Here is a 26,677-nt window from a genome sequence, read left to right as displayed (position 1 = left end):
TCCTCCACCTGCCTGCAATCTGGGTTCAGAACTGCACTGACTCTAACTGCCCCTGCCCAGGAAGCCCTGTGGTAGTGGAGCTTCAGCTTTGGCTTCCCTTCCAACTATTTTCTCAGGGTCTCAAGCCTTGACTCCACCCCGCAGGAAACTCCCACTGCCTCCCTCCTCACACAATCTTCACCCCATCTCTGTGCCTGGCTCTGCTGGGCCCTGGGGGCACAGACACAGTGCAGACAAAGCTCCTTCTCCTCAAGGAGCCCCTGCTCAGAAAATGATTCCCAACCGTTTTTCTTATGCACTATGTCACAGCGAGATCTTCACACCAAGACCCTGAGGCACAGCTGGGCAGTAGGAGAGGCACAGCTGGGTCTCTGTGAATGGCAAGGCATAGGGGATGGTTGGAAGCCCCTAGGCAGAGGGGTGTCAGAAGCCCCCTGACGTAGGGTGTGCAGAAGTTGCAGGTGGAGAGGGTGTATAGAAGCCCCAAGGCAATTTGACGTACACTCTCAAGGGTGCCCTCCAACAGATGTCACCAGTCTAGAAGCTGAGATAGACACATAAATAAGCAACACTGTGCACAGTGAGTGCCATGACCAGAGGAAGCCCAAGAGCTCTGAGGGACAGGAGGAGGCATCTCACTCAGCCTTGGGAACACTCCTCCAGGGAGGTGACTCTTGAGTGGCTTCATGAACCCAGACAGAGAAGAGGGGAATGACTTTCCAGGCAGAAGGGGCTGTGAGGCATGAAAAAATCTGGCATGTTTAAGATACCAGGATGAATTTATGACTAGACCTGTGCTGTCAAATATGATAGCTACTAGTCACATGTGGCTATTTAATTAAAATTAAACAACATTAAAATTATATTCCTCAGTCTCAATAGCCACATTTCAGGTGCTCAACAGCCACATGTACTAAAGAATGTCCATCATCAAGCCGAACAGGGTGGCTCATACCTGTAATGCCAGCACCTTGGTGGGCCAAGGTGGGAGGATGGCTTGAGGCCAGGAGTTCAAGACCAGCCTGGCAACATGGTAAGACCCCGACTCTATAAAAAATTAACTAGGCATAGTGGTGTAACCCTGTAGTCCTAGCTACTGAGGAGGATATGGCAGGAGGATCACTTGAGCCCAGGAGTTCAAAGCTGCAGTGAGCTATGATCGTGCCACTGCACTGCAGCCTAGGTGTCAGAGTGAGACCTTGTCTCTTAAAGAAAGAATTTCCATCCACAGGAAGTCGAGTTGCCCAGTGCTGGCCTTAGAGTATAGAGCCACTGTGGATCCTAAAGAGCCTGAGGACCCTGGACTCCTTCTCGTGGGTCTCGGTTCTTCTCTGGACCCCCTGTTTGCCCATCTACTTGGCAGTCACCCTGGGAACTCAGAGGCTTCTCTTTCATCCCACCATTTTATCAACACCTATTGTGCCCCTGGTTTTCAAGAGAGGCACATGCCTGAGAACTTGGTTATGGGAGAAGGGTTAGAAGCCTCCTCAGAACCGCAAGCCATGAGGTTCCAAGGGTCCTATGAGAAAGCAGTGAGCACATCACGTGTCCCATGTAAACTCTTGGTAAAGACCAGTCAGGGCCAACCAGGGAAGATGCACCTTGTGGGAGGCTTGGTCAAAATATTTGGCCGTTCATGAACAGTAAACACTGGGGCAACTGTGAGGTGCTGGCCAATTGAAGGTTGTACTAGGGGAGTGGGCAGAAGAGTGGGTGGAGGGATCAGGAGGAGACTTACCAGGACAGTAGCTGCCTGTTTCTAGGGCACCCTGTGGCTCCTTGCCCCACAGGTGAGTTTCTTCCTCTTCTGTGCTCAGTTTCAATGTCACCTCCTCTGTGAGGCCTTCTCTGATTGCTCAAGGAGCCCCAACTGCCCCTCATCCTGGATTTTCACATGACACTTGTCCCACAGACTGCCAACGTGCCTGTCTCCCTAATTAGACCCTGGGCTTCCTTGAGGACACAGACCTGCCTGGTTAATTATGCTGCTCCGTTAGCCTGAACCACTCTTCTCCAGAAGTCTGCCCCCATGGCTGTAATCAATCTATATCAGTGTTACTTCTTATGTACCTGTTGCTTCCATTAGACCATGAACTCCTTGAGTGCAGGGGCTACGTCTTGTTCAGCTCTCTAAATACCTGAGTGAATGAGTTAAGTCAGGGAGGTGGAGGCTGTTGAATACCAGCTGGCCTGGAGGCAGAGGACTGGAGGCAGACAGAATCAGGAAAGGGACTGGGAGGGGTGGAGAGGTGAAAGCAGGCTGTCCATGCCCCCTGCCGCTGAGCCATGCTGGCTGAGCAAGAGCTTCCCTGTGGTCCCACCTGAGCAGACTTCCCTAGGAAGGGAGACTCTGCTTCTTGTGGACTTCCTTTCCTCTGTGAGATGGCTGTTCTCCCCTGCTGATTGCTGCAGAGAAGATAATGGCAGATCCCTTTATTTCTTGGGCTGGCCTCCAGGCAGAAGAACTTGTTCCAAGTGCCACTTGGTGACTCTTGCAAATTGTTCCTGACAGCCCTGCAGAAGGCCAGGCCATCTGCCTTACCCTTTTGCAGGGCGGCAGGGGCTGAGAGGAGAGATATTAGGTTTCCACTTTAGCCAGTACTTTGATGTTCAAAGCTGTTTAATATTCATTAAACCAGTCCTTCAGTTGTAATTGCAGTCATTACCCACCCTTTTATGATTGTCTGTAAATGTTATGGGACAGACGGGCACAACTAACCTAATGATGGAGGGTTTTGATGATAGATAAAAGGTTGAATAGAACCCCTTCAAATCCGTCTCCTTACTCCTTGGTGCCCACTCCCAGCCCTTTCTGCTTTCTTTGTCTCTTAAAAGATGGTGCTTGGATTGAGAGAGCAGGATGGCCCTCCAATAGTGTCATGGTTAGTTAATTTTACCAAGACAAAAATGCTGTCCTGTGGTCTCAGACTGAACCCAAAATCACACACACAACTAGGCCTTGGCATCAGGTGAGGCACAGAGCCCCGACCCCGGCCATAGTCGGAGCACTTAGCTGACACCAAGAAAAGGAAACTAGGTTTTTACTTCGTTCATTTAGCAAACATAGAAATTTTGAACAGGTTTGGCCATCAGAGATAACAGTGCTCTTGCTCTATGGAGGGGTGGGGGCCTCTTGGAGGAAATACACAGGCTTGTGTATTTGGCATCAGACTTCACTTTTAGGTGCTCCCACTTTCTAGCTGCATGACCTTGGCAATGACTGAAACTCTTCAGTGTTCAGTTCCTTCATCTATTAAGGATAAGATAATTATACAACCTACAGGTAAAGTCGGTGTGAAGATCCCACTAAATAACAGGCACTAAGTACCCAACAGAGTGCCTGGCAGGTGGCACTTGCTCGGTTCCTGCCAACTCATGGCTTTAGCACTCTCTCCTGAAGTCGTGTGAGAGCAAGTGGGCCCTGCCTTAGGAACCCTAAACCCAAACGGGGAGAGAGAGTATTGTGGGCTGGCCAGGTCCTGCCTCTCCAGCCCAATCTTCCAACAGTCCCTCCAACAACAATCTGCCAACAGCACCCTCTTCTGACCTCCTCCCCCACACCCCCTCAGTCTGGCAGGTGAGTTCTCTGGGAAGCCGACTCTGAGGTGGTTTCCATGTATATTTATTAGGGAGGTCCTTGGGGGTGGGTGGAGAAAACAAATGGAGCAGAGGGAGAAGTCAAGCTGAGATGCAGGCCCAAGCACTTTCCACAGGGAAACTTGGATCTGAAATAGCTGGCTGGGCCTTTGCATACCTGCCTTTATTCCTCATTGAATTGACTCTCATTGGATATGGGTCGTGCATTGAAGGGCCCAACTTTGAGCAAAGAGGCTCTGCAACTGGGGCAAAAGAGACTGACAGTGCAAGGCTGCACTCTGACAGCACTGACAGCAGCTGGGGCAACAAGTCCTTCATTAACATGGGACCTGGGGGCTGCATCGCCCTGTCCACCACAACCAGGGCTCATTATCATTTCCAAGGGCTTCCCTTGGAATGCTGTATCTACCCACCACACACACCACCACCACCACCACTATTGCACAAACACACAAAACTTACCAAAATCCTTTTTCTTCTTCAAAATGTTCTAATAGTACCTCCTCCAGAAAGCCTTCCATGGTTTCCCCAACTTTGAATGATTGCATCTCTCACTGCTCCCAAGATTCATGGGCAGAGTGCCACGTAGGCAGATATCCTCTTATCAGACAGCAGTTTTCTAGAGGTGGCATTGTATGTAATGGAGTGGGCCACAGCAGTGTCCAAGTGGCCTTGCAGGGCCTTGTTTCAGGGGACCAAAGCACCAGAAGGGGCTAAACCAGAAGCGCTCGCAGGTCCTTCTTGCCTTACTGATCTGTGATTCTCTAGGTCCCACTCTGGGTGGCCCACTCCTCCAGGTGTGCATGAGCACCTTAGAGAACAGGGCCTGGGCCTTCTCCATGTCTGTAGGAGGTTGTTGAGGGCACTCCACTTGCAGAGACCAACATGCATGCCAAGATCTGTGGGGCAAGCAGAAGATCATGCCCTGTGCACATAAGAACCCCCACCTGGAGTGGAAGTCAGATGGAAACAGAGGACACAGCCCAGTGGACAAATGCAGAGACAGAAAGATATGTAAGATGAGCCCTTATGGGCCCAGGCCAGGGTCTCACATCCAGAAAGACTCAGTGGGCACTTGCTGAGGAAAAATATGGATGTAAGGCCTTCTCCAACAGCAAAAGGATACATGTAGGTGGTGAAGGCCGTGAAGACTGAATGCGTGAATGAATGAATGAATGAATGAGTGAATGAGTCAATGGAGGAATAAGCAATTTAAAGAAATCCACAGCTGAGTAGAGTAGATCTCCAGTCTCTCTTCCAAAACCCTTGAAGCCACATTTGTTTCAGAATTCAGAATTCAGAATTTTTTGGATGTTAGATGGCAAAATATGGTATATATCCATACATCATTTAACACCCCATTGTGGCCTGGAGCAGCATTCTTAATCAAATACATTAACATTTGTGCAGCAAAACATGAATATTCACAAAACGTGGGAGAGATCAAGGCTATATATAGCCTTGGATAAGTTCAGGTCAAGTTACCAAAGACATTCTTCAGAGCGTTTTGGATTTCAGAATTGTAGATAAGGGAGTTAGAGCTCGTATGACCATCAAGGTTCTTTCTGGCTTCAAAAAAGTCCCCTTGAAGATGCAGAGCCCCTAACTTGCTCTTGACTGTTCCCACCCAGTGCCTCCCTGGCTTCCCTCCAGAGCCTAGGCCTCTCCTTTTCTGTGTGTTTTTCTTTCCTGGCCTCCAGGCAAACTTCTGCCATCCTGAGGTCAGTCAAATGGGAGTCTCAGAGCAGGTCTAATCACACATCATTAGCATCCTAATGGCACCTAAGTGAGAGGGCAGTGACTTTTATCAGAGGGAGAGCCAGAGCAGCCCGGGCTCAAAGATTGGGGCGGAGGCCTCTGGGAATGGGGGAGGTTGTGACTGTTTTTCTTGCCATTGTTAGGGCTCAGGGTTCCAGCCTTCGTAGCCCCTGCTTGACAAGTTGCCTCCTCCACATTCCTCACCAGTAGCTTACCTGCCTGCTTTTATGCCTTTTATGCCTAGATTCTTCCCTTCCTTCATCTGCTCATTCATTCATCTAACAAAAATGTTCTGAGCCAGTATTCTGTGCCACCCAACAACCTGTGTTGTTGGAGTGATTATCAGTGAATTGGGACAGTGTAGATACTGAAGGAAAATTCTTATAGGATAAAAGTAACTTCCAGTTATTTTTTTCTTGTATCAGGTAAATAGCTAACACTTCTGTTTGTATAGAACGCTATCCTTTGCAAGGGATTTTTACATGTTAGTTTAATCCTTACCAATAATCAACCCTCTAAAAAAGATATGGTCAGTTCCAGCTTAAGAATACAGAAGCTCAGAGAGGTAGAGTAGGTCGGCTGCAGTGTCTGGCCCATTGGGTACCTGCTCTCTAGCTGGGCAGGGGCAGGTCAGATTGTATATGTGTGTGTGTGTGTACACCTGTGTGGTGCAAATGAGGGGTAGGGAGGAAACTGATTGAGCTGTGATAAGGACAAGTATGTAGTTACGAAGAAAGGTGATGAATACAGGATCTGAGATATGGTGGCCCTACCTTGCCTTTTAAAAGAAGAGCTATTTCTTCCTCAGATGCAATTCACATTTTACCAAAACACATCAAAAATCTTCCATCTTTGCAGCTGCCCTCCAGGGTCCTCCCCGTGTGGAAGAGCCTGTTTTCTGGATACACCTCTGAGCCTGTCTGCTTCTTGGCTCGGTGAACTCCTCCTCATCCATCAGGGCCATTCCGCAGGTTACTCCTTCTATGGCCGCCTAGGAAGTGCAGTACAGCAGCCTACAAGGCCCAAAATGATCAGCTGCCCCCAGCTCGCTTCCTCTCTGATCGTCTCCTACCTCCCCTCCAGCCACGTTGTCTTCCTTGCTGTTTCTGGGACATGCCAAGCATGATCCTGTCTCAGGGTCTTTGCTGTCCCTCATCTCTTATGTGTCTTTATTCAAATGTCACCTTCTCAATGACTGCTCCATTTAAAACTTCAGCCTAGTGCACCTGTCCCCTGTTCCTGCTCCACTTTCTCCTTTCCCATAACACTTCCTGTCATCTAACATGTTACATAATTTACTTGCTATGTTTTTTGTTTACTGTCCATCTTACCCTATCACATCCAATACCTTGTGAGATCCAGGAGAGCAGGAATTTGGGCCTGTTGCATGCTGAATATCCCACATACTGAGAACAGTGCTCAACATATACTAGGGGCTCAGTATATATGTGTTAGGGAGAGAGGGAGAGAGAGCCTACTATGTGCAACTACTTTTACTGACACTATCTTGCTTAATCCTCATAACACATCTTTTAGATGAGTTGTCATGATTCCCACTTTTCAGATGAGGAAACTGATGCCAAGGGAGTTGGAGTTTCTTGCCCAAGAAGTGGCAGTACCAGGATCAGAACCCAGGCCAGTCGGAATCTAGACTGTATTCCCCAGGCCGAGAGGTAGAGGTACCTCAGAGAGGGTGAGCTCAGCTCGTGGGCAGATCACACATAGCCTGGCAAGCCCAGTTCCCCAAGCCTGCCTGATTTTAGTGACGCACAGACTGGGCTTCTGTGCCCACTCTCGCTACAACATCTTTGGGAAGCAGATCCTAATATCTGAGGCCTTTTCCATCCCCACTTCCCACCAGGGTCTCTGCTTGGGTTCCAGAGGGAGGTTTGGGCAGTACAGGCCATGGCATTTGGACCCAGGCTGGAAATAGCCAGGCCCAGGGTCTGCATCATCAGTGTGGAGTGGGCTGCGTGACTCTGTTGAACCCAGAGTTTCTTTGTTAGCCTTGAGCCTCCACAGCCCCATCCCTGCCTCCCTTAACCCACCCTTCTCTCTGTAACCCGAGACCCCCAAACTCCTCATCCTCTCTTCCCTCTAGGCCCTGGGCCAAGCCTCCGCTGGCTTCCCTCTGCCATCCTGTGAATGTCCCTTTGTGCGGCAGCCCTGACGTGAGGTCCTTCCTGGGGAGGTGTTATTTTAATATATGGAGGGCAGTCATTGCATTTCATAAAGATAGCTTGTTTGGAGGGGCCAGCAGGGGCCAGGAGAGATCGCACTTGACAGATGCAGGGACAGCCTGTGGTTTAGGGGCTGGAGATCACAATGTGTGCCTGTGAAGCCCAGTGCTGGGCACCATGCCCCCGGCAGCCATTGCTGGAATGAGTCCTGCCACTGGGGCCAAGGCACACAGGAACCTTCCCCCCTTCACTGGTGGGACAAGTCCCAGTGATGGAGAATATGCGCAGGCCTGGGGGAAAGCAAACACTAGTACGAGGAGGCAGGCCTGGGAGTGGGGTGGGCATGGGATCTGTGCCAGCACCATCTCTGCCCCTCCCTCCTCAGCAGTGCGACCTGAGGAAATCTCTGCCCTATGGGCCCCTTTCAGCCCAGAGGATCACCCAAGGGCTTTCTGGCACTGTCATTCCAGGAGACTTTTAATCCAACCTCCCTAGAGTGGATGTTGAAAATAAATGAGGAGTGAACTCTGTCTCCTGCCACCTTGGGCCCTGCAGCCAAGCCAGGGTGATGGACAGGGTGACAAAGTCTGAACAGGGTTGGTTCCAGGACAGCTCTGGTTTGCTGCCGAGTAAAACACCTGGTCCTTGGGGAAGCGAGACCTGAGGGCAACCTGACCAGCTCCTCTCCTCAACAAGGAGCCTTTCTTTAACTGTGGTGGGAGGGGGGCAGTGGGGTCCAGGCTGGGCAGTCCCAGGGCACCCACTGCCAGGCATCAAGGTTGTTGAACTTGGAAGTGTACATGCTTCCCTCCGCTCAGCAGAGCAACCCACAGCTCGCTCAGTGCTCACACAGAGTGATCAGATACAGGCTGTGCTTTATGGTAACTTCAGTGAGAAGCGGGTGTTGGGCTGGGCTTCCTGGCTGGGGGGTGGGGCGAGTGGGCTGCAAGAGACTATCCACGTCCCCTCCGCTCATCCTCTGTGTCCAGTGTAGGCTCAGGCTATGAAACTCAGGTCTTCCTCCCTGTGGCCGTCTCCTGGGGAATTCCTTTGTTGAGTGTCAAATCTATATCCTTGGGGTGAGGCAGGGGCCGCAGGATATGATTTTGTCCTGAGGGCTGTTTGAATATCTCCCAACCCTTTGAGATGCGTTTTTAGATCCCTTGTTATGCAGGAAGCTGAGCCAGGACTGGGGTGGTGGAGGAGGAGGCAGGAGGCTCCTGCCCTTGTACTGGCAGAGCTCTTCCTCCTGAGCTCTTCCTACCCAGTATTCTGGTTGTCTGTGGCCACGTCTGGCCACTCCCCTGAGGGCAGGAGTGCCATCTGAGTCATGTCTGTGTCCTCAGCACATGTTGCAGAGCATGTGTCACGGTGCCCCAGATTCTTTGTGGAAGGAGTGGTACGTCATGTTCACTTCCCTGTCCCTATTCTTCACTCTTGGCTTGTTCATTCTGCTACTGGAAGTGTCCTCCTTCACTACCAGCACTCACACATACTGCTGGTGGGGTGCTAATTGACACAATGACTTGGTCCCATGTGGTCCGAAATGCATTCAGTGCCCTGCTGAAATATCACCTCCTCAGAGAAGCCTTCCTGACTGCCATATCTCACATAGCACACCCTGGTCCCATTCTGTTCCATCTTCTCACTCTGCTGTTCTTCGTGGCACTTGGTATTAGGTAGCTCCTTGTCAAGGTGCTTGTTGTGTGTCTCCCCACTGGAATGTAATCCCTGTGAGGCTAGTGACTTTTCTGTGTTCACTGCTATAAGAATAACAAGAACTTACTGAGTGCCTGCCATGTGTCAAGCACTGTTCAAAGCACTTTATGTGATGAATTTATTTAATCCTCCCAAACTCAGTAACCAAGTACCATTATATCTCCATTACAGAGATACGGAAATTGAAGCACAGAAAAGTTCAGTAGCTTGCCCAAGGTCACAGTACTAAGTGTCAGAGCCAGGATGTGAACCAAGGCGGCTTGGCTCTCAATGGCAGAGTCCTAAGTATTATTGTAGGCTGCATCCGCAACACCCCCACCCACACTGTGTATCACTGTATCCCCAGCATACAGAACAGTGCCTCCCCATGCGCCGAGCCCTCAATAATAGTATTTGAATTACTGAAGTAAAGAAAGAATATAAATGAATGAATATAGGCTGACAATATAAGTAAGTTCAAGGAGGAGCACAATCAACAATCAGAGGGAGGATCCACAGCAGGTTATTTGGGGGTTTCGGGATAATGCCAGGCCTGGAAGAGCATTGTCTCACAAATCGCTTTTTGGTGATTCCATCACCAAAGCCAGGATCCTGAAGCAGCCCGAGAAGTTGGGCCCCCGCAGAGTCCAAGAGCCTGCCCCTCTGATGAATCTAGGCAGTTTGCAGACATGCCTGAGCCCTCTGTTGATTTGTGGGCAGGGAACTTTTTCATAACTCTTCTCTTTTAGTCCCTGGAACAACGCTAGGAAGGTAGCGACTGTGCATTTAATCAACAACAGCATGTTTGGCAACTTCCCTGTGCAGTGTACTCATTGTCAAATCAAACACAAGGGCTCCCCTCTAAAAGCTCATAGCCAAGTGTCAACAAGCTCTCAAGCATTGAAATGTGAGGCAAGGTGCGCTAAGAGCATGGCTGTAAAGAGAACCTACACCAGCCTGGGCTAAGGGCAGGTAAAAGTAGGGCTTTCCTAAAAAGGCAACACCCAGGAAACCCGAGTAGAATTCAGGGAGGCTCTTATTTGTTCAACATCCCCCAGATGGTATGTGATGGAGTGAGGGTTTCTACTTAAGTCTGATCTCAAAGGATGTTCTTTCCACATACTGGCCACTCCCTCTGCCTGGCCCCCCAGAGGTTCTGTGAATGCACTCTGTCCCATAGAACACCAGGAGTTGGGATGAGGAGGACACTTTTAGGAAGCAAATCAGTTTTTGTTTTTGTTTTTTTTTTTAGATATTTGAAAACTATATATAATCAACTGAATTGAAATGTGAAACAGAAAACAATAAATAAGTCACTAACTTTATCCACTTCTCCTGGTAACCCAGGGGAGATGAAACACACCCACCAGCTGAGGGGCCATCTGGCCAGATGACACTGCGTCTGGACATAGACCTGTCTCACCACTGACCTCACAATGGCTTCTGCAGGGTGCTGGAAGCCCTCAGCACCATTTATGTACTTCTGTAATGTGTATAAATCACTCCCCACCAGCTTACCTTTTTTCCTCTTCCTATTCCTCTGGATGCCCTCGTAAAATTTTAAAAGCTTTGCATGTCAGACTGCACTTCCCAAGGCTCTAAAACTGGAGACTGGATTTGTACCTGCTGTTTCATGGTGCTGGCCTTCCCAGAGCCACATGGTCAACCTGAATTCCGATGATGGCTTCCATTTCCTCCAGTGTGTGATACATTCTTCAGCTGTTATCACCTCCTCACCATTCATTCACATAGAAGAATCCTAGGGTCATTTTCAGTCCTTATCTTTCTCAACCCATCAGCACATGCCCCTTCTTGAAATATGTCCTTCACTCATCCTACCTCAGTAGCCTCTGTTAGTCTCCTTGCTGCTTCTTTCTCACCTCTCTGACCTCTAAACTCTGGAGGGTCCCAGGGCTCAGTCCTCAGTCCTCTTCTTTCTGTACTTATCCATTCTTACTTTGTACCGAGGAGACCATCATTTCAATCTGCAGCCCAAATTCTCTCTTCGTACAAACTCTCTGGATTCATATATCCAGATGTGATATAGAATCTCCACTTGGGTGGCAAATACACATCTCTAGCTTAACAACTTTTAACCAATAGTTGATTCTCCCCCTCATGGGTTCCCAGTCCTGATTCTTACCAGACTTCTTCAATTCAGCACATGGCAGTTCCATTCTGCCAGTTGTTCAGGCCAAAAGTCTTAGAGTCATCCTTGACTGTTCTCTTTCTTTCTTAACCTCCATCCAGTCTGTCAGCAGTTTCTGTCATGTCTACATCCTACAGACAGCAGGATTCCACTACTTCTCCCCACCCTTCCTGTTCAGCACCATGGCCTCAGCCACCACCACAATTGCGTGTAATAAGCTGCCTGTAACAGGTCTCCCTTCTGTTGCCTTCTCCCACTCCAGGAGGCTGTGCTTCTCACAGAGCCTGGAGCCATCCTTCAAAACATTAATTCTGAAAACCCTCCACTGGCTTTCTGTTTTACTCCTAGCAAAAGCTAAATCCTAATGTGGCCTAAGAGCCTCTGCATAATCTGACCCCAGCTACCTCACTGACCTCATCTTGGACCACTGACACCATTACTCCACTTCAGCCATACTAGTCCCTTGCTCTTTCTTTTTTTTTTCTTTCATTTTTGTTTTTTCTTGTTGTTGTTGTTTTGTTTTGTTTTGTTTTGTTTGAAATTGGGTCTTGCTCCGTAGCCCAGACTGGAGTGCAGTGGCATGATCTCAGTGCACTGTAGCCTCAACCTCCCATGCTCAAGCAGTCTTTCCATCTCTGTCTCCCAAGTTGCTGGGACTACAAGCGTGCACCACTACACCCAGCTAATTTTTAAAAATTATTTTTTGTAAAGATGGGGTCTCACTATGTTGCTCAGGCTAGTCTCGAACTCCTGGGATCAAGCAGCCTTCCTGCCTCAGCCTCCCAAAGTGCTGGGGTTACAGGCATGAACCACCGTGCCTGGCTCTTATTGAACACACAAAACATATTCTTGCCTCTGCCTGGAACCCTTTTTACCCAAGGTAGTCCCGTGGCTCATATATACTTCATTTCATCCAAACCTGTGTTCAAGTATCACCTGCCCAGAGAAGCCTCCCCTGCCTGCATAGTAGCCCCGCTTACTCTCTGTCTCTGCGCCCTGCTTTATTGCTCATAGCACCTTTTCCTACATGGCGTGTATATTTGTGTGTTTCTCATCTGTTCCCCTGCTAAAATGTAAGCTCTATGACAGCTGGAACTTTGTTTGACTCATTGCTATGTGAACAGTGCCTAGTATGATCCTTGGCACATTTTCACAGCTAATACTTCTATAGCATTATTATGTACACTAAGCACTATTCTAAACAGTTTACTTGTAATAATAATTCAGTTAATCCTTATAACAAACTGAGGCAGAGATTAAGCAACTTGTCCAAGGTTATAGTGAGCCGGGATTGGAACTCAGCCACTGTTCCCTATGTCTCTCCTTGGGTAACTACTCCAAAAATATCTCTTAGATGAATGGGATCCAGCGAGTGCTGTTGTGCACCTCCAGACTCCATACCAAACAAGATAGGGATGGGAACCGGCACTAGTGCCAAGGACAGCCCCATAAACGTCCTTAATACAGCAACCTACCTGCTGTAATGAAGATGCACAGAGGATTTCTTTCGAAGCTGTTGCCTTTTTGAAGTTGGGAATTATATTCTTCTTCTTCAGGGCCTACAGTAGGCTCCAGTGAATATTTGTTGAATGAACGTTAAAGGGACAATGGAGGAAAAAACACCTAACTTTGCTCAGGAGATTCTCAAAGGCTCCTAGGGGTGACCATGTGAGAAGGCATTTGGCAGATGAGAGGCCTGCAGCATCAGGTCTGTGGATCCTTTGGCCCACCTGTCAGTGCTCAGTCACCTGTGGACACCTGGGCCCCCCCAGCAGTAGGAAGCTGAAGAAATGCTCTTTCACTGCCTGGTCACCCTGTAGAACACTGATGCCCAGGAAGTTGCAGCATCTCCCCAAGCAGCAGGCTCCATGGGCCTGGTAACAGAAAGGAGGCCAGCAAGGCTTGAGCACAATGACTACCTCTGTCACCTCTTCTGCCACCAGCCTATCACTGCTGCTACTGTTACTGTACCTGCCACCTCCATGACCACGCTGGTCATGGCCATTGCTACTAACTGGGGCAGTGTTAGGCATTGGCCACCCTCACTGCTATTACATCCATCACAGCCACTGCTGCTATTACCACCTGACCCCGATCCTGTTACCCAAGTCTGTTGTAGTTACTTCTACCATTTCCAACCACAGCTACTGATATTATTATTACTAGTACTAATAGTTGTAGCTATTATTAACAACCTACCTGTGTAGCATACTCTGCAGTGTACAAAGCAGAGTGACATCCATGCTTGCTTTGACTGTCACAGCAGGTGGGTGAGGCAGGCAGGGTAACCTGTGCCAGATGAGAAAAAGGAGACTCAGCCAGAGATATTCAGCAACTTCATTCCATCCAGGTAGCAAAAAGCTCAGTGAACAAAGGGAGCTAATAATTTACTTTGGCTTCCTCTAGATGAGACACTGTCCTAAGCACATTTACAAATTCTGACCCATGTAATCTACACTGCGCCTCAAGACATTAAGTATTGTCTTCCTCGTTTATAACATGGAGAACGAGAGACTCAGAGAGGGTAAAGGTTGTGCCTGTGGTTGCCCAGCTGGGCAGTGGCAGGGTACTGCCTGGCTCTAGATCTCATGCCTCAGGGGCCAAGGACTGGAGGTTGAGTAGAAATGCCCCAGTCCAGGATTCTAGATACCTGGAGAGTAATCCTTCCACTGAATCCTTTGGTCACCAACTCTCAGCAGCTATGCATCTTTGACCTAATAGATAACCCTGTATGGGTCTTATTTTTACAATCTTCTGGTGACATATGCCTCACTGCCCTCACAGTTTGCTATTGGCAGAGTCAACAGTGGCTTGAGTCACTTCCAAGGTCTTATCCCCACATCTGGCAATAAGATTCAGGTATCTGTCATCAATGTGACATGAACACATGAACAATGTGACATGACAAGCCACATACCGTGCTTGGCAATTGCACAGGCTCTCTGTCCTTTATTTCCCCCCAAACCCTGAGAGGTGAGAAATTGTTTCAATTGACAAATAAGAAAGCTGAGGCTTAGAGAAGTGGTGTGAAATGACCAAGGACATTCGGCTTCTGCATGGTGGGGCAGAGCTGGGATCCAAGCCAGCGATCCTGACCTCCCATTCTGGGCAGCTTCCATGAGGCTAAGGTGTGTTGTGGATCTCAGAAGGATTCACCATCACCTGGTCCATCAGTCATCTGGTAGCTGTTCATTGGGTTCTTTCTGTGCACTGGGCTGTGTTAGGCCCACATTTTCAGTGGTGAAGAAGAGAGACGGTCTCTACCCTCAGGGAGAACACTGTCTCCTGAGACAGACAGACATCATACAAATTACTCCAGAGAGTGCAGTGTAAGCAAGGGCGCCAAGTACAACCCAGAAGTACAGGGGCTGGGGAGCGCGGGCCACAGGCACCTGACCTAGGGTGGGTGATGCTAACTGTTGTGACAACAAGCCCCCATCATTCAGTAGCTTCACAGCTCCAATGTGAGTATTCCCAGTGGGCCAGGGAAAACTCAGGGCCCTAGGTGGACAGAAGCTCTCTCATGGGCAGAAACAGCAGTCAGCGTCCGTGGGAAGGGACAAGGATCACACTGGGAGGGTCTCAGGGGCCAAGCCTGGAAGTGGCCTCATGCTCCAATGGCCAGAGTCAGTCTCATGGCCTTCTCTACCTACAGAGGAGGCTAGGGGAAGGCAGTTGAATTGTGTGCCTGGAAAGAAGAGGATATGGGTGTGGTAAGCAGGTGACAGTCACTGTCACTCCCAGTTTGGAGGTGATCAAGAGAATTTTCCCTACAGAAGTGACATTTCAGAGGAGATCTGAAGAAGGGACAGGAGGTAGCGATGGCAGGTGACTGGTGCTTTTTTGACCAGAGGACCACAGGCTCCTCCTCTCTGCAGCCAGTGCCCAGCCTTGTATGGGGTGAACAGCCTGAGCCTCCACTCCTCTCCCAGGGTCCCAAGGGCACTGCACCTGCAGATGAGAACCCTGCCCTCAAACCCAAGCAGGGGCCTCCCTCCAAACAGAAAGCCCCCTGCTCTATTTTCAGCCCATCAGAGGGAATTCCACGGGAGAACCCAGATGATCCTCTCCAGGGTTTTAACACTCCTTTGCCCCTGCTTTGCTGCTGGAGGCTGCCTTTCAGGCCCGTCAGGCTAAAGATTTTAACCTAAGATTTGAAAGGACCAGAGATCAAAAGCAGATGCTCCTGGAAGACACTTTAGCCTCCCCAGCCGTCTGGGGACATGGCTATGGAGGAGAAGACAATTCATCACGAACCATGCAAGCCCCCGTTCAATAATAAACAGATGTATTATGGGGGGAAAGAAAGGGATGGGTGTCAGCCCTTTGATTCATTTGTCTCCCTTGTGAAGTCACCTTCATCCTGGGCTCCGGAGGGCAGGCACAGGCGCTTTGAAGCAGAGACACCTTGTCAGGGAAATGGAAACATTTCACGTTGTAAATCCTCAGGGTTGTCAGAGAGATCCTAATGAGAGAGGAAGCTGTCAGGGGTGGCGGGGAGCACCCAGGACTGGTTTGGAGGGACCTGGGGAAGAAGACTAAAGGCGGTTCTGGGAGACAGGAACCTGGCCCCGTCCTCTCCTGATTTACACCCTTTCTTCGCTGCTCTTCAGCGCTAATAGGAAGCAGGCTGGTTTCCCCGGGTACCCCTGCCTGCAGCAACACTGTTTGCACTTGGTGCCCTTGGCCCAATCCACATGCTTTGCTCAGGTTAAGACTGTTCATTGGCTTTGTCATGTAATCACCCACCCCCCGCCGGCCCCCACCCCAGGACTTTCACATCCTTCACTTATGGCAAAGAACCTGAAAATGTTTTAACAAGTGGGAGATTTAAGTGTGCTTATCTCAAAACATAGGATGTCTCTTGGTCCCTGCTTAGGGGAAATTGAGTCATGACTCCCAAGCCCCACCCCACTCAAAGCCACAGATAAAACCACTAGGCATAAGGGCATCCTCCACAGACTGAGAGAGCTAGTAGCATGTCGAAGTTAAGATCAGGGTCCTCTGGGGTCAGTCAGTCCTGTATATGGAATTCCAGTTCTCCACTTATAGCTGTGTGACCTTGGGCAAGCTACTTAACCTCTCTGAGCCTCAGTTGCTATGTTGCAGAATGGGAATAGCAGTAATAGGAACTTCTGCCTGTCCCTGATTGTTGAGCGGATTGTGTTAATACATGTAATGTGTTTGGCCTGCTCAGAAATGGAATTATTATCACTAGATTTACCTCAAGGTAAAGCCACACTCAAGTTGTAGATTATTAGCCCACTTTACCTTTGAACAAACTGAGACTTAGAGAGGGAAGGGTTTATCCAGCTTCTCACAGGGAGCTAGAACCCAGCCTTCCTGACCAGTGCTTTCTCTGCGCCACCCCACTCCCACTTCCATGTTCTCAAAACTGTTTACCAAGTGTGATGATGATGGTGTGGAGGTGGAGAAGGCTGGAGCAGGGGGCCAGGGACACATTAGAAACCTGTCAGAGATGAAATGGCCCCGGACCAAGGCAGGCCCTTTGGATGTACAAGAGAAAAACTGTTTGAAAAACTGTTTAGAAGTTAAAATTCCCCCTAGACCATTTCTGGCCAATTCACCACTGTTTGTCCCTAGCCCCTAACACAGGGCCTGGCAGTGAGTAAACATAATATTTTTTGTTGTTATTTCTGAAGGAATAGAAGAATGAATGAATGAACGAATGAACAAATGATTAAAAGAGGGGTTGGGGGACTCATGGATGACTTCCAGGTGTCTGGCTTGGCATGTTCACTGAGGTGGAGAGAACAGGGAAAAGGACAAAATTCAGGGAGTGGTTTATAATAGGATCTCAGATAACTTTTGAACTTCTCATGTGTGCAAAGCCCAGAGACTATAAATTCAGTTCTATCAACCATTTGATAGAAATTTCCCTAACACCAGCTAGGTGTCCAGCAGTGAGGAGAGGTAGAGAGGAACAAGAAGCAAACCCCGCCTGCCCCACGGGAGCCCGAGCCGAGTGGAACGGCCAACACTTCAGCGGGTAAAGTTCATCCATCATGCTGAACAGTGCATATGCTCTGCATAGTGGCCGAGACCAAGTAGAGCTTGGAGGAGTGGAGATCCCTGGGGACTGGGTTGGTCATGGAGGGCTCCCTGGAGGAGGTGGGTTAGATGATGAATCAGGTTTGAACTGATGGGTTAGACAATGAACCAGGTTTGGGTGAGGATGGAAGGATCTTAGGGAAAAAGTTTGTACCTGAGGATGAATCCTTGGCATGAAGGAATTAGTATCCATCTCAGTGAACTTCGCAGTTTCTCTATCTCACTTCCTATATTCTTATCCAATAGCTACAAAATAAAGATTCTCTTCAGCCATATGCCTGAAGGTTGAAGGCATTCCAGACCCATAAATATTATTTTCAAAACCAACTGATGCATAAAACTAGACTTTGATTAAATATTACAACCAGCATTTGGTAACGGAGCATGAGACTGTCATTTATCAGCAAGCAATGTGGACATAATAATTCATTAAGCTCCTTTGAGCTCTATCTCAGCTGAGCACTCAGGACAGAAGGAGCCTAGAGAGGTTATGTTTTCTTTTGGCTATTTGCAGGATGCCTTCCCAAACTGCTCCTGAAAACCATTAGCTCCCTAGGAGGCCCCAGGCTGCTGCCCTCCAAGTGTCCCGGCCACCGAGCTACTTGAAAGGCCCTCATTTATCACCATGAACTCCCTGCCTCCCGCTTCAACCCAGAGATTTGGGGGGAGAGCACATAAAGAAACTTCCCCTTGCTTCGTTAAATCACGGTCCCCTGCCACCAACAGAGGACCTGTATGTGGAGGGATTCATCATCCATTCATTCAGAAGATGCTCCACAGTTACCAGATGGCCGATGCAGTGATGGGCACTGGAGATACCATGGGGAAAAAAGCAGACACAGCCCTTTGTCTCAAGGATCCCACAGCCTGAAAGGGGGTGCTGCAAGTAAATAAGACGGTCCACAGTGATACACATGGTAAGAGTGGAGGCACTGAGAACACACCTAGCCTGGCCTGGGAGTCAGCGAGGGCTTCCTGGAGGAGGTGGACACTAAGCTTAGGCCCAAAGGATGTGTAGGAGTTGGTTAAGTGAGTAGGACAGAGAAGAGTGTTTTAGGTACAGGCAATGGCATGTGCAAAAGTTTTGGAAGTGAGAGAAAGCATGGCACCTTGTAATGAAGTAATTTTGGTTAATAGGGGTTAGAGTATGAAGCAAGAGGTGGCAAGAGCTGAGGCTGGAGAGGTGAATTGGACCAGGTCCATGATATCCTTGAGCCTTATCTTTTGTAGTTTTGAGCAGCTGGGTGGCAGGGGAAGGGGAGGGGTGCTATGTTCAGGTTTTGAATGTCTGGGCACTTAAAGTGGGAGGCAGAGTGCCATGATAACGTTTGTAGTTTAAAAAGATGATCCTGGCTAGGTGCATTGGCTCACACTTGTAATCCCAGCACTTTGAGAGGCTGAGGTGGGTGGATCACCTGAGGTCAGGAGTTCGAGACCAGCCTGGCCAACATGGTGAAACCCCGTCTCTACTAAAAATACAAAAATTAGCCGGGCATAGTGGCGCGCACCTGTAGTCCCAGCTACTTGGGAGGCTGAGGCTGGAGAATCGCTTGAACCTGGGAGGTAGAGAGGTTGCAGTGAGCCGAGATCGCAACACTGCACTCCAGCCTGGGCGACAGAGCGAGACTCTGTCTCAAAAAATAAAAATAAAATAAATAAATAAAAAGATGACCCTGGCTACTGTGTGGAGAATGGACTGTTGAGACTGAGGCTGGACTCCATTAGAAGAGTTAGGATGAAACACATGCTCTTCACACTTTGCTTCTGGGCTTACCAGCCGGTGTGTAGGTTGTAAGGAGTTACCATCATGATAGCCAGGGTGTGCAGCTGGAACAAGCAACCCCAAAACTCTTAGTGTCTTCAAACAAGAAAGAGTTATTTTCTACCGTGTTGTGTGAACACCACAGATCTGCTGGGGGCCTCAGACCAGCCACTGTCCAGAACTTGGAGAGGGAAAAAGGACAGGAAAATTCCACACTGGTTCTTAAAGCTTCCACCCAGAAGTGACAGGCACCATTTCCATTCACATGTCATTGGCCAAAGCAAATCACACGGCCACTGCTGTTTTCAAAGAGCATAGGAAAGAGCCACCCTACAGGGCTCTGGGAAGATTGCAGAACCAGACTATTTATGGACTGGGCACCTAATGACTAGCACTGTGAGACTAGAGGCTCTATGGCTTTCCCATTATTTAACTGTCACAAATGCTGATCCAGTGCTTTTAGAATTTATTTCCATGTACCTGGCCACATTTTATCCTCCCACATCCCCTGGGGGTCAAGCACAATCATCCTTTCCAAGACACCAGGCTCAGCTTCCTAAAATCCCCATGGAGAGAGAGATCATGGCTCAGGAACCTCAGAGCTTTTGGTAAAGTTGAGTAGGCATGGACCTCCCAGATGCTTTGAGCACATTTTTTACTTTCACTAAAATGAGCAATACAGGCAACTTGCTGAATAAAGAGAAAGCCAGTGGCACTTACACATCTAAGTGAGACATCATGGAGACTGAACAGTGGGTTTGCGTTTGCCATCCCTCTGAGCATCTGCCTCCCTGTAGTTGGAACAAGAAGATTGTAAATGTGTTTTGGTGAAGACAGTACATATGCACTGGGGCATTTATTTATTCTGGGTCTGGCTAACCATCCAGATGTCCTGACTTGTGACACAGCTGAAGGCTTCAGGCTCTTGGTCCTTCTAAGATCTCAGAGAAGCTGCCCCAAGACACATCCATATTCAGGGCCACACTTACTTTCCATCCCTGAGTCTCCTCCAGCTGTCTTGTCTCAGCCTTCTTTTTCTACTCCCTACCCCCTAGTTATGTCTCTGTCTTGTTGCCAAGAGGTATGAGTTTCAGTGGAACTAAAATTCTGATGATGACTGAGATGAACTTGAACATCAAGCCTATAATACCAGCATTTTGAGCTACAGAACTCAAATACCAGCATTTTGAGCTAGAGAACTCAATTTTGAGACAATGTCAAGACCAAGGGCTCTGGGAGAAGCCTGACTTAGAATTAAGTCCCAACTCTGCTGCTTAACCCAGGTGTGGCCTTGGACAAGGTATTTAGTATCTCTGAACCTCCGTTTCCTGGCCTACAAGCTGGGTATATGGAGGCAGAGAGCTGATAGGGATGTTGTAAAGAGTGGGTAAGATAAGACAAATCAGGCACTTGACAGTGTGTCTTGAAAAGTGAGAACTACTAGAATGATAATTATTATTTGTAAGTTCTTCAAGGAAAGCTCACATTGGAGAAAGATTTCTGTGTTATTAAGTGACTTGCCCAGGGTTATGCTGTTACCACATGGTACTGCGAGACCTGCCGGGGGTTGTGGGAATGAGCAGCTTCTCCAGGACTCCTCTCCCAATCCTTTTACCTGCCTCCTTCCTGGGGTGCATCGTCTGCTTTGCCCCTCCAGGTGCCTCCTTCCTCACTGTTACCTTCCTCGTTCCTCAAATAAAAAATTTCCCCACAAGCTACCAACTTATGGCTATTTCCTGATGACCTGATTTGGAGGTTATTGTGACCCTTGCTCCCCTCCAGAGCTGCATGGCATGTTAGCGTTCACAGAGCTCTCCTGTTAAGGCCAGGACTGAAACCCAGGGCCTTGGTGGCTATGGTGGGCATTCTGCTTCTGCTCACATAGGTGCTGTCTGTGTTAGATACAAGGTGACTATTGCATACACAAACACCCCTATGTGCATGACAAAGTCAGCAGACTATCTGAACCAAACATCTGATGGACCTGCATTTTATAAGTTTCTCCTTCACCCTGGGACCACCAGATGGAGCTGAGAACAGAGACCCCCTCACCCGCAACCCTAAGACTTTTGCAAAGGTCTGGGCTAGAGCTGTCAAGGCCTGAGCCAGGGGAGATGTCACAGGGTGGAGGAGAGGGATGAGGAATCAGACTCAGGGGGCAGATCCTGGGGGTGATGCAGTGGCAGAACGGACGAGATCACTGTGGCGGGTGGTCAGGCACACACGTGCAGTCCCCACAGTGAAGTCCCATGCAACGGCAGCATGGGGAGCATGAGGCAGGATGTGCTTCTGCCATTGAAGCCCTGTGTTTGCTGGTGTTTACATAAGGAATGGAATTAATTAAATGCCACAGGGCCTCCTCGGTTGCTGAAAATAAACCCAGCCAGGCCCCCAGCAGCGCAGCCTGCCTGCCTGCTTGCTGCAGAGCGGGGCGTCTGTTGGATTTCTCCAGGCTTCTGAGGGCAGAAGGCACACACGCTCACATGGCAGGGATTACTGTTGCAGTCACCCTCTCCCCACAGGCAATGCGTCAGAGCCAGATGTGGCTCTGAGCCCTGCCCAACTCCTCATGGGGGTGTGCAGATGAACGGCCACATACAGGCAGCCAGAGACACACAGAAACACAGAGACATGTTGATTCATGCAAATAAGCATGGGCCACCAGGATGCACAGTTATATCAGGACATGCAGACACAAAGACAGATGCCACAAGCCATGCAGACATGTGGTGTCTATGAGCACATAGTGAAAAAGATAGCCTGGCCACATAGGTTCAGATAAGCCCGCCACACGTGCTTTCAGAGCCCATGAGAACACAGTCACCCAAGCACCTGGTCACATACCCACAGACTTACGAGGATACATGTAGACATGGCTTCAGAACCAGAAAGCTTCAGTCTGCTCCTGAATCTGCCTTTTGCTAGAACTGTGCCTTTGGGTTTGTTTCTTAGCGTAAAGCTTTGTGCCTCAGTTTCCTCAACTGTAAAGTGCGGTAACAATAGTACCAATCTCATGGTGTCATTATGAGGATAAAAATGGGAAAATGGATGTCAAGTTCTTAGCAGAGTTCCTGGTGTATACTAAGCACTCCACAAACATTAACTGGTATTATTCTGTCTTAACACCGTCCAAGTAATGGGCTTACACATAAACATGGGACACTCAAATATATTCTGACACACAAACACACATCTGCACCAAGTGACACAGGGGCACACAGAGAGACAACAGATCCATTCACATGAGCTCACAGCAAGCCTGCATGGACCTGCCTCATGTAGGCCTGTGCTTACACACACACTCCCGGGCCCACCACCACCACCACCACTGCAACCCAAGTTGATCATGGGCATGGGACCAGACCATGCAGGATTAAGGAAAACTGAAAACCAGATTCTTGGCTGTGGAGGCCCATGCCCTGCGGTGTAGTCTGTAGCCACTGAAACACACAGACTTTTTTGTGACTCTCCATGGCCTACAGGACAAGATCTAAGCTCGAGCCTGAATTTATGGACCGCCATGGGGTGCTCTCGTCTCTCTCCGAACCTCACTCCTCCCCGCTGGATTGCTGTTCTCACTGCTGCGAGGGGACCCCCAATGAACAGTACCCTCTAGTTCTCAGCAATTGAGGAAAAAAAGCAAATGATAGCAAGTGGGGGCCCAAGCATAACCTTTATTACTGAGAAAGTTCAGGTTGGCCCTCATATCTTATTGTGAGAGGCGGAGAAGCCTGCTAACTGGATCCCAGAATTGGTTAGACCCAGTCCCAGGACTCAGACAGTGCCAGAGGAAGCAGGCCTCCCATGGAGCATCTCCCCAGGTAAGACCTAGAACACGGAGGGGCAGAGGAGAACCTGTGCACACGCTGTGCCTCCACATTGCTTCCCCATGACACCTCCCCGGACAGTTCCCCTTGATGTCTAAAACCTAGCGACTCCCCACTCTGTTCTCTCATAGCCCCTGTTTTGACCTGGTATCCGCGTTCCATGCTGTGTCACAATATGACCACACACTTAACGACTTAAAACAAAACTGATTGTCTCACAGTCTCTGTGTAATTATTGTTTCCTGATTCAAAAAATAAAAATAAAAACCTTCACCCAAAAGGAATTGACTGAATGATCGATTGGTTGATGATCAATTCATTTCTGTTTTTACATCTTTTTCTTTCTCTTTTTTTTTGGTGGGGAGACCGAGTCTCACTTTGTCACCCAGGCTGGAGTGCAGTGGCACAATCTCAGCTCACTGCAACCTCCACCTCCTGGGCTCAAGCAATTCTCCTGCCTCAGCCTCATGAGTATCTGGAATTACAGGTGCCCACGACCACCCCCAAATATACAATAATTTTTTTATTTTTAGTAGAGATGGGTTTCACCACATTGGCCAGGCTGGTGTCAAACTCCTCACCTCCAGTGATCTGCCCACCTGAGCCTTCCAAAATGCCGGGATTACAGGCGTGAGCCGCTGCTCCTGGCCTGTATTTACATCTTTAAGGAGCCTCCTCTCTCCTAGAAGCTAAGGGTGGAAAAGGAGTGAAGCAGTTGTTACTCCAGACAAAGAATCAACACAGATGACTAAAATGGGAGGGAGAAAGCACGAGAGGGGTCAGCCTGGCAGGGGTGGCCTCCCCACAGCTCCCTGTCTACATCTCAGCCACATCAGTAACAGCCCTACACTGCATCAACCATTTGGACTCTGGGGTCTCCCCACTCTCACTTCTGGCCCTTCTTGGCCTCCTTAAGAACAAGTTATAGATGACATCTAAATGAGCTGTCTCTTTTAAACAACTTTTTGTTCTAGTTGTTCAATGTAAATTTATTGTAGAAATAGAAAAGTACAAATAATATAAAAATCATTCTGAAATAATTGTTACCATGTCAATGTATTGCTTTCTTACCTATTTTCCACAGGTATAGAGTCATGCATGACTTAATGACACGCATACGCGTTAGATGATTTCATAGTTGTACCAACATTATAGAGTGTACTTGCACAAACCTAGAAGGTGTGGTGTAGCCTTTTACACACCTAGGCTGTCTGATATAGCCTATTGCTCCTAGACTACAAACCTGTACAGCATGTTGCTGTACTGAATATTGTAGGCAATTGTAACACAGTGGTAAATATTTGTGTATCTCAACATATCTAAACATAAAAAAGTAAAATAAAATAAAAATTTTACATATTAAAAATATAATCTTACGGAATCACTGTTGCATATGTGGACTGTATTGAACAAAAACATCAGTATGTGGCACCTGATTATATATTTATATGTATGTGTGTTTTTTAAATAAAATTGAGACTAGGCCATATACTGGTGAATACTTTTTATCGTAATGCTTCCTACATGTCGTACTATCATCACTGGTCTATGCATAAACTTTTTTTTTTTTTTTGAGACAAGGTCTTACTTCATCACCCAGGCTAGAGTGTGGTGGCATAAGCACAGCTCACTGAAGCCTCAACCTCCCGGGCTCAGGTGATTGTCCCACCTCAGTGTCTTCAGTAGCTGGGACTACAGGTGCATGCCACCACACCTAGCTAATTAAAAAAAAAAAAAATCTTTTGTAGAGATGCGGTCTCACTATGTTGTGCAAGCTGGTCTCAAACTCTTGAACTCAAGCAATTCTCCTACCTCAGCCTCCCATAGTGGTGGCATTACAGGCAGGAGCCATTGTGCCTGGCCCATAACCTTATTTCTTTTTCCTTGTTTGCTTATTTATTTGTGAATACCATAATAAAAACTCTGAACTTACCACTTAACCCAAGAAGTAAAATCTTACCAGTAACTCACATTTACCTGTGTGCTCACCTGCTCTCCTGGCCCCTGCCTCTCAAGAGATAGCTCAATTCTAGATTTTGTATTTGTCATTCCTTTAATTTTTAAAAATGTAGTAGTGTCATATAAATGCTATTGCTTGATTGTGCCTGCTTTTTTGACATCATTAAGGAGAGAATGATGTATGCGTAGACGTCTGAGACTTGCTTTTTCACTCGCTATGGTGTCACTAAAAATCTTCCCTGATGTTGCCTGTGTTGGTGGCCCTTCTAGTTCGTGGCTGTGTGATGCCACATTGTGTGAATCACCACAGTGTAATCCCTTCTGTCTAGGCACATCACGTTGTCTCATTATAACCTACTCACTGAAAACATTTTTACAAACATGTTCTTTTTTTGGGGGGTGCAGGGGAGAGTCTCTCTCTGTCGTCCAGACTGGAGTGCAGTGGTGTGACCTCGGCTCACTGCAACCTCCGCTTCTCGGGTTCAAGCAATTCTCCTGCCTCAGCCACCCAAGTAGCTGGGATTACAGGTGCTCGCCACCACACCTGGCTAATTTTTTGTGCTTTTAATAGAGATGGGATTTCTCCATGTTGGCCAGACTGGTCTTGAACTCCTGACCTCAGGTGATCCACCTCCCTCAGCCTCCCAAAGTGCTGGGATTACAGGCGTAAGCCACCGTGCCCGACCACAAACACGTTCTTTTTTTTTTTTTTTCTGAGATGGAGACTTGCTCTGTCGCCCAGGCTGGAGTGCAGAGTGCTGGAGTGCATGTTCTTGGGCTCACTGCAACTTCTCTGCCTCCTGGGTTCAAGTGATCCTCCTGCCTCAGTCTCCCGAGTAGCTGGGACTATAGGTGTGCACCACCACACCCGGCTAATTTTTTATTTGTATTAGAGACAGGGTTTCAACATGTTAGCCTGGTCTTGAACTCCTAACCTCAGGCAGTCCACCAGTAGCTGCATAATATTTTATTTATGGAAGACTGCATCTTTTTAAAATCACTTCTCTATAATTGACTTTTAGGTTATTTATAATTGTATAAATGCTGCTACTACACACATCCCTTCAGGTAATTTTTTCATGCCTCCAAAGTGTGTTTTTCTTCAAGTGAGTTCTGAGATGTGCAACTGCTACTCAGAAAGTTTGAACATTTTTAAGGTTTTTAATAGAGATGGCGAGATGCTTTCAGATGGTTTCCACTAATCCCTGTGTTCACAACACCTGCCAATATCGGGTACCATCATTTATTCAAGGGACAGAAGAGGGAGGGAGGGAAGTAAGGGAGGACACGGATGTATTTGTCTTTTTCAAAGGACCCAAGCCTTTGCCATTTGAAGCTGGATATGCACTTAGAGTAGATCACCATCCCCTGCTTGGCCACTCTCTCCCTTCCCTCTGTTCCAGCTGCCCTGGAGCTGGCCTCCTGTGAGCTCCTTTAACACACCAAGCTGTCTTCCCAACAGCCTTAACAGGCTGTTTGCTGTGCTTGAAACATTCACCTGCCCACCCCCCAGCCCCATTGCCAAAATATACACAGAGCTGACTTCTAGTCCTTTGGGCCCCTGCTTGTATTTCACAAACTCAAAGAGTCCTTTTCAGATGTCCCTTTCTGAGTGCCTCTTTCCTGTCCCCATCATTATTCCCTAACCCCAATTTGAGCCCTTCATGATACTTAT

At 48.3% G+C, this 26,677-nt stretch overlaps 1 protein-coding gene across 10 annotated transcripts in view, besides 5 other annotated features; it reads left to right on the top strand.

Annotated features, from left to right (window-relative positions):
- TRABD2B (TraB domain containing 2B) overlaps positions 1-26,677 on the top strand; it is a 236,858-nt gene that overhangs the window by 93,665 nt on the left and 116,516 nt on the right. The gene's annotated exons all lie outside the window — the stretch shown is intronic.
- Positions 5,113-5,638: an enhancer, noted in NCBI's record as "OCT4-NANOG hESC enhancer chr1:48363755-48364280 (GRCh37/hg19 assembly coordinates)". NCBI's record gives its function as "activates a minimal SCP1, AML or CMV promoter by ChIP-STARR-seq in naive and primed H9 embryonic stem cells {active_cell/tissue: H9 hESC(naive and primed)}" and the evidence as "EXISTENCE:reporter gene assay evidence [ECO:0000049][PMID:30033119]".
- Positions 6,141-6,641: an enhancer, noted in NCBI's record as "H3K4me1 hESC enhancer chr1:48362752-48363252 (GRCh37/hg19 assembly coordinates)". NCBI's record gives its function as "activates a minimal SCP1, AML or CMV promoter by ChIP-STARR-seq in primed H9 embryonic stem cells {active_cell/tissue: H9 hESC(primed)}" and the evidence as "EXISTENCE:reporter gene assay evidence [ECO:0000049][PMID:30033119]".
- Positions 8,109-9,106: an enhancer, noted in NCBI's record as "OCT4-NANOG-H3K27ac-H3K4me1 hESC enhancer chr1:48360287-48361284 (GRCh37/hg19 assembly coordinates)". NCBI's record gives its function as "activates a minimal SCP1, AML or CMV promoter by ChIP-STARR-seq in naive H9 embryonic stem cells {active_cell/tissue: H9 hESC(naive)}" and the evidence as "EXISTENCE:reporter gene assay evidence [ECO:0000049][PMID:30033119]".
- Positions 21,013-21,538: an enhancer, noted in NCBI's record as "H3K4me1 hESC enhancer chr1:48347855-48348380 (GRCh37/hg19 assembly coordinates)". NCBI's record gives its function as "activates a minimal SCP1, AML or CMV promoter by ChIP-STARR-seq in primed H9 embryonic stem cells {active_cell/tissue: H9 hESC(primed)}" and the evidence as "EXISTENCE:reporter gene assay evidence [ECO:0000049][PMID:30033119]".
- Positions 21,539-22,065: an enhancer, noted in NCBI's record as "H3K4me1 hESC enhancer chr1:48347328-48347854 (GRCh37/hg19 assembly coordinates)". NCBI's record gives its function as "activates a minimal SCP1, AML or CMV promoter by ChIP-STARR-seq in primed H9 embryonic stem cells {active_cell/tissue: H9 hESC(primed)}" and the evidence as "EXISTENCE:reporter gene assay evidence [ECO:0000049][PMID:30033119]".

Source organism: Homo sapiens, chromosome 1 (genome assembly GCF_000001405.40).
Source record: "Homo sapiens chromosome 1, GRCh38.p14 Primary Assembly".
Lineage (NCBI taxonomy): Eukaryota > Metazoa > Chordata > Mammalia > Primates > Hominidae > Homo > Homo sapiens.
The sequence above is the reverse complement of the archived record's forward strand: the minus strand, read 5'-3'. Positions and strand labels throughout refer to the sequence as shown.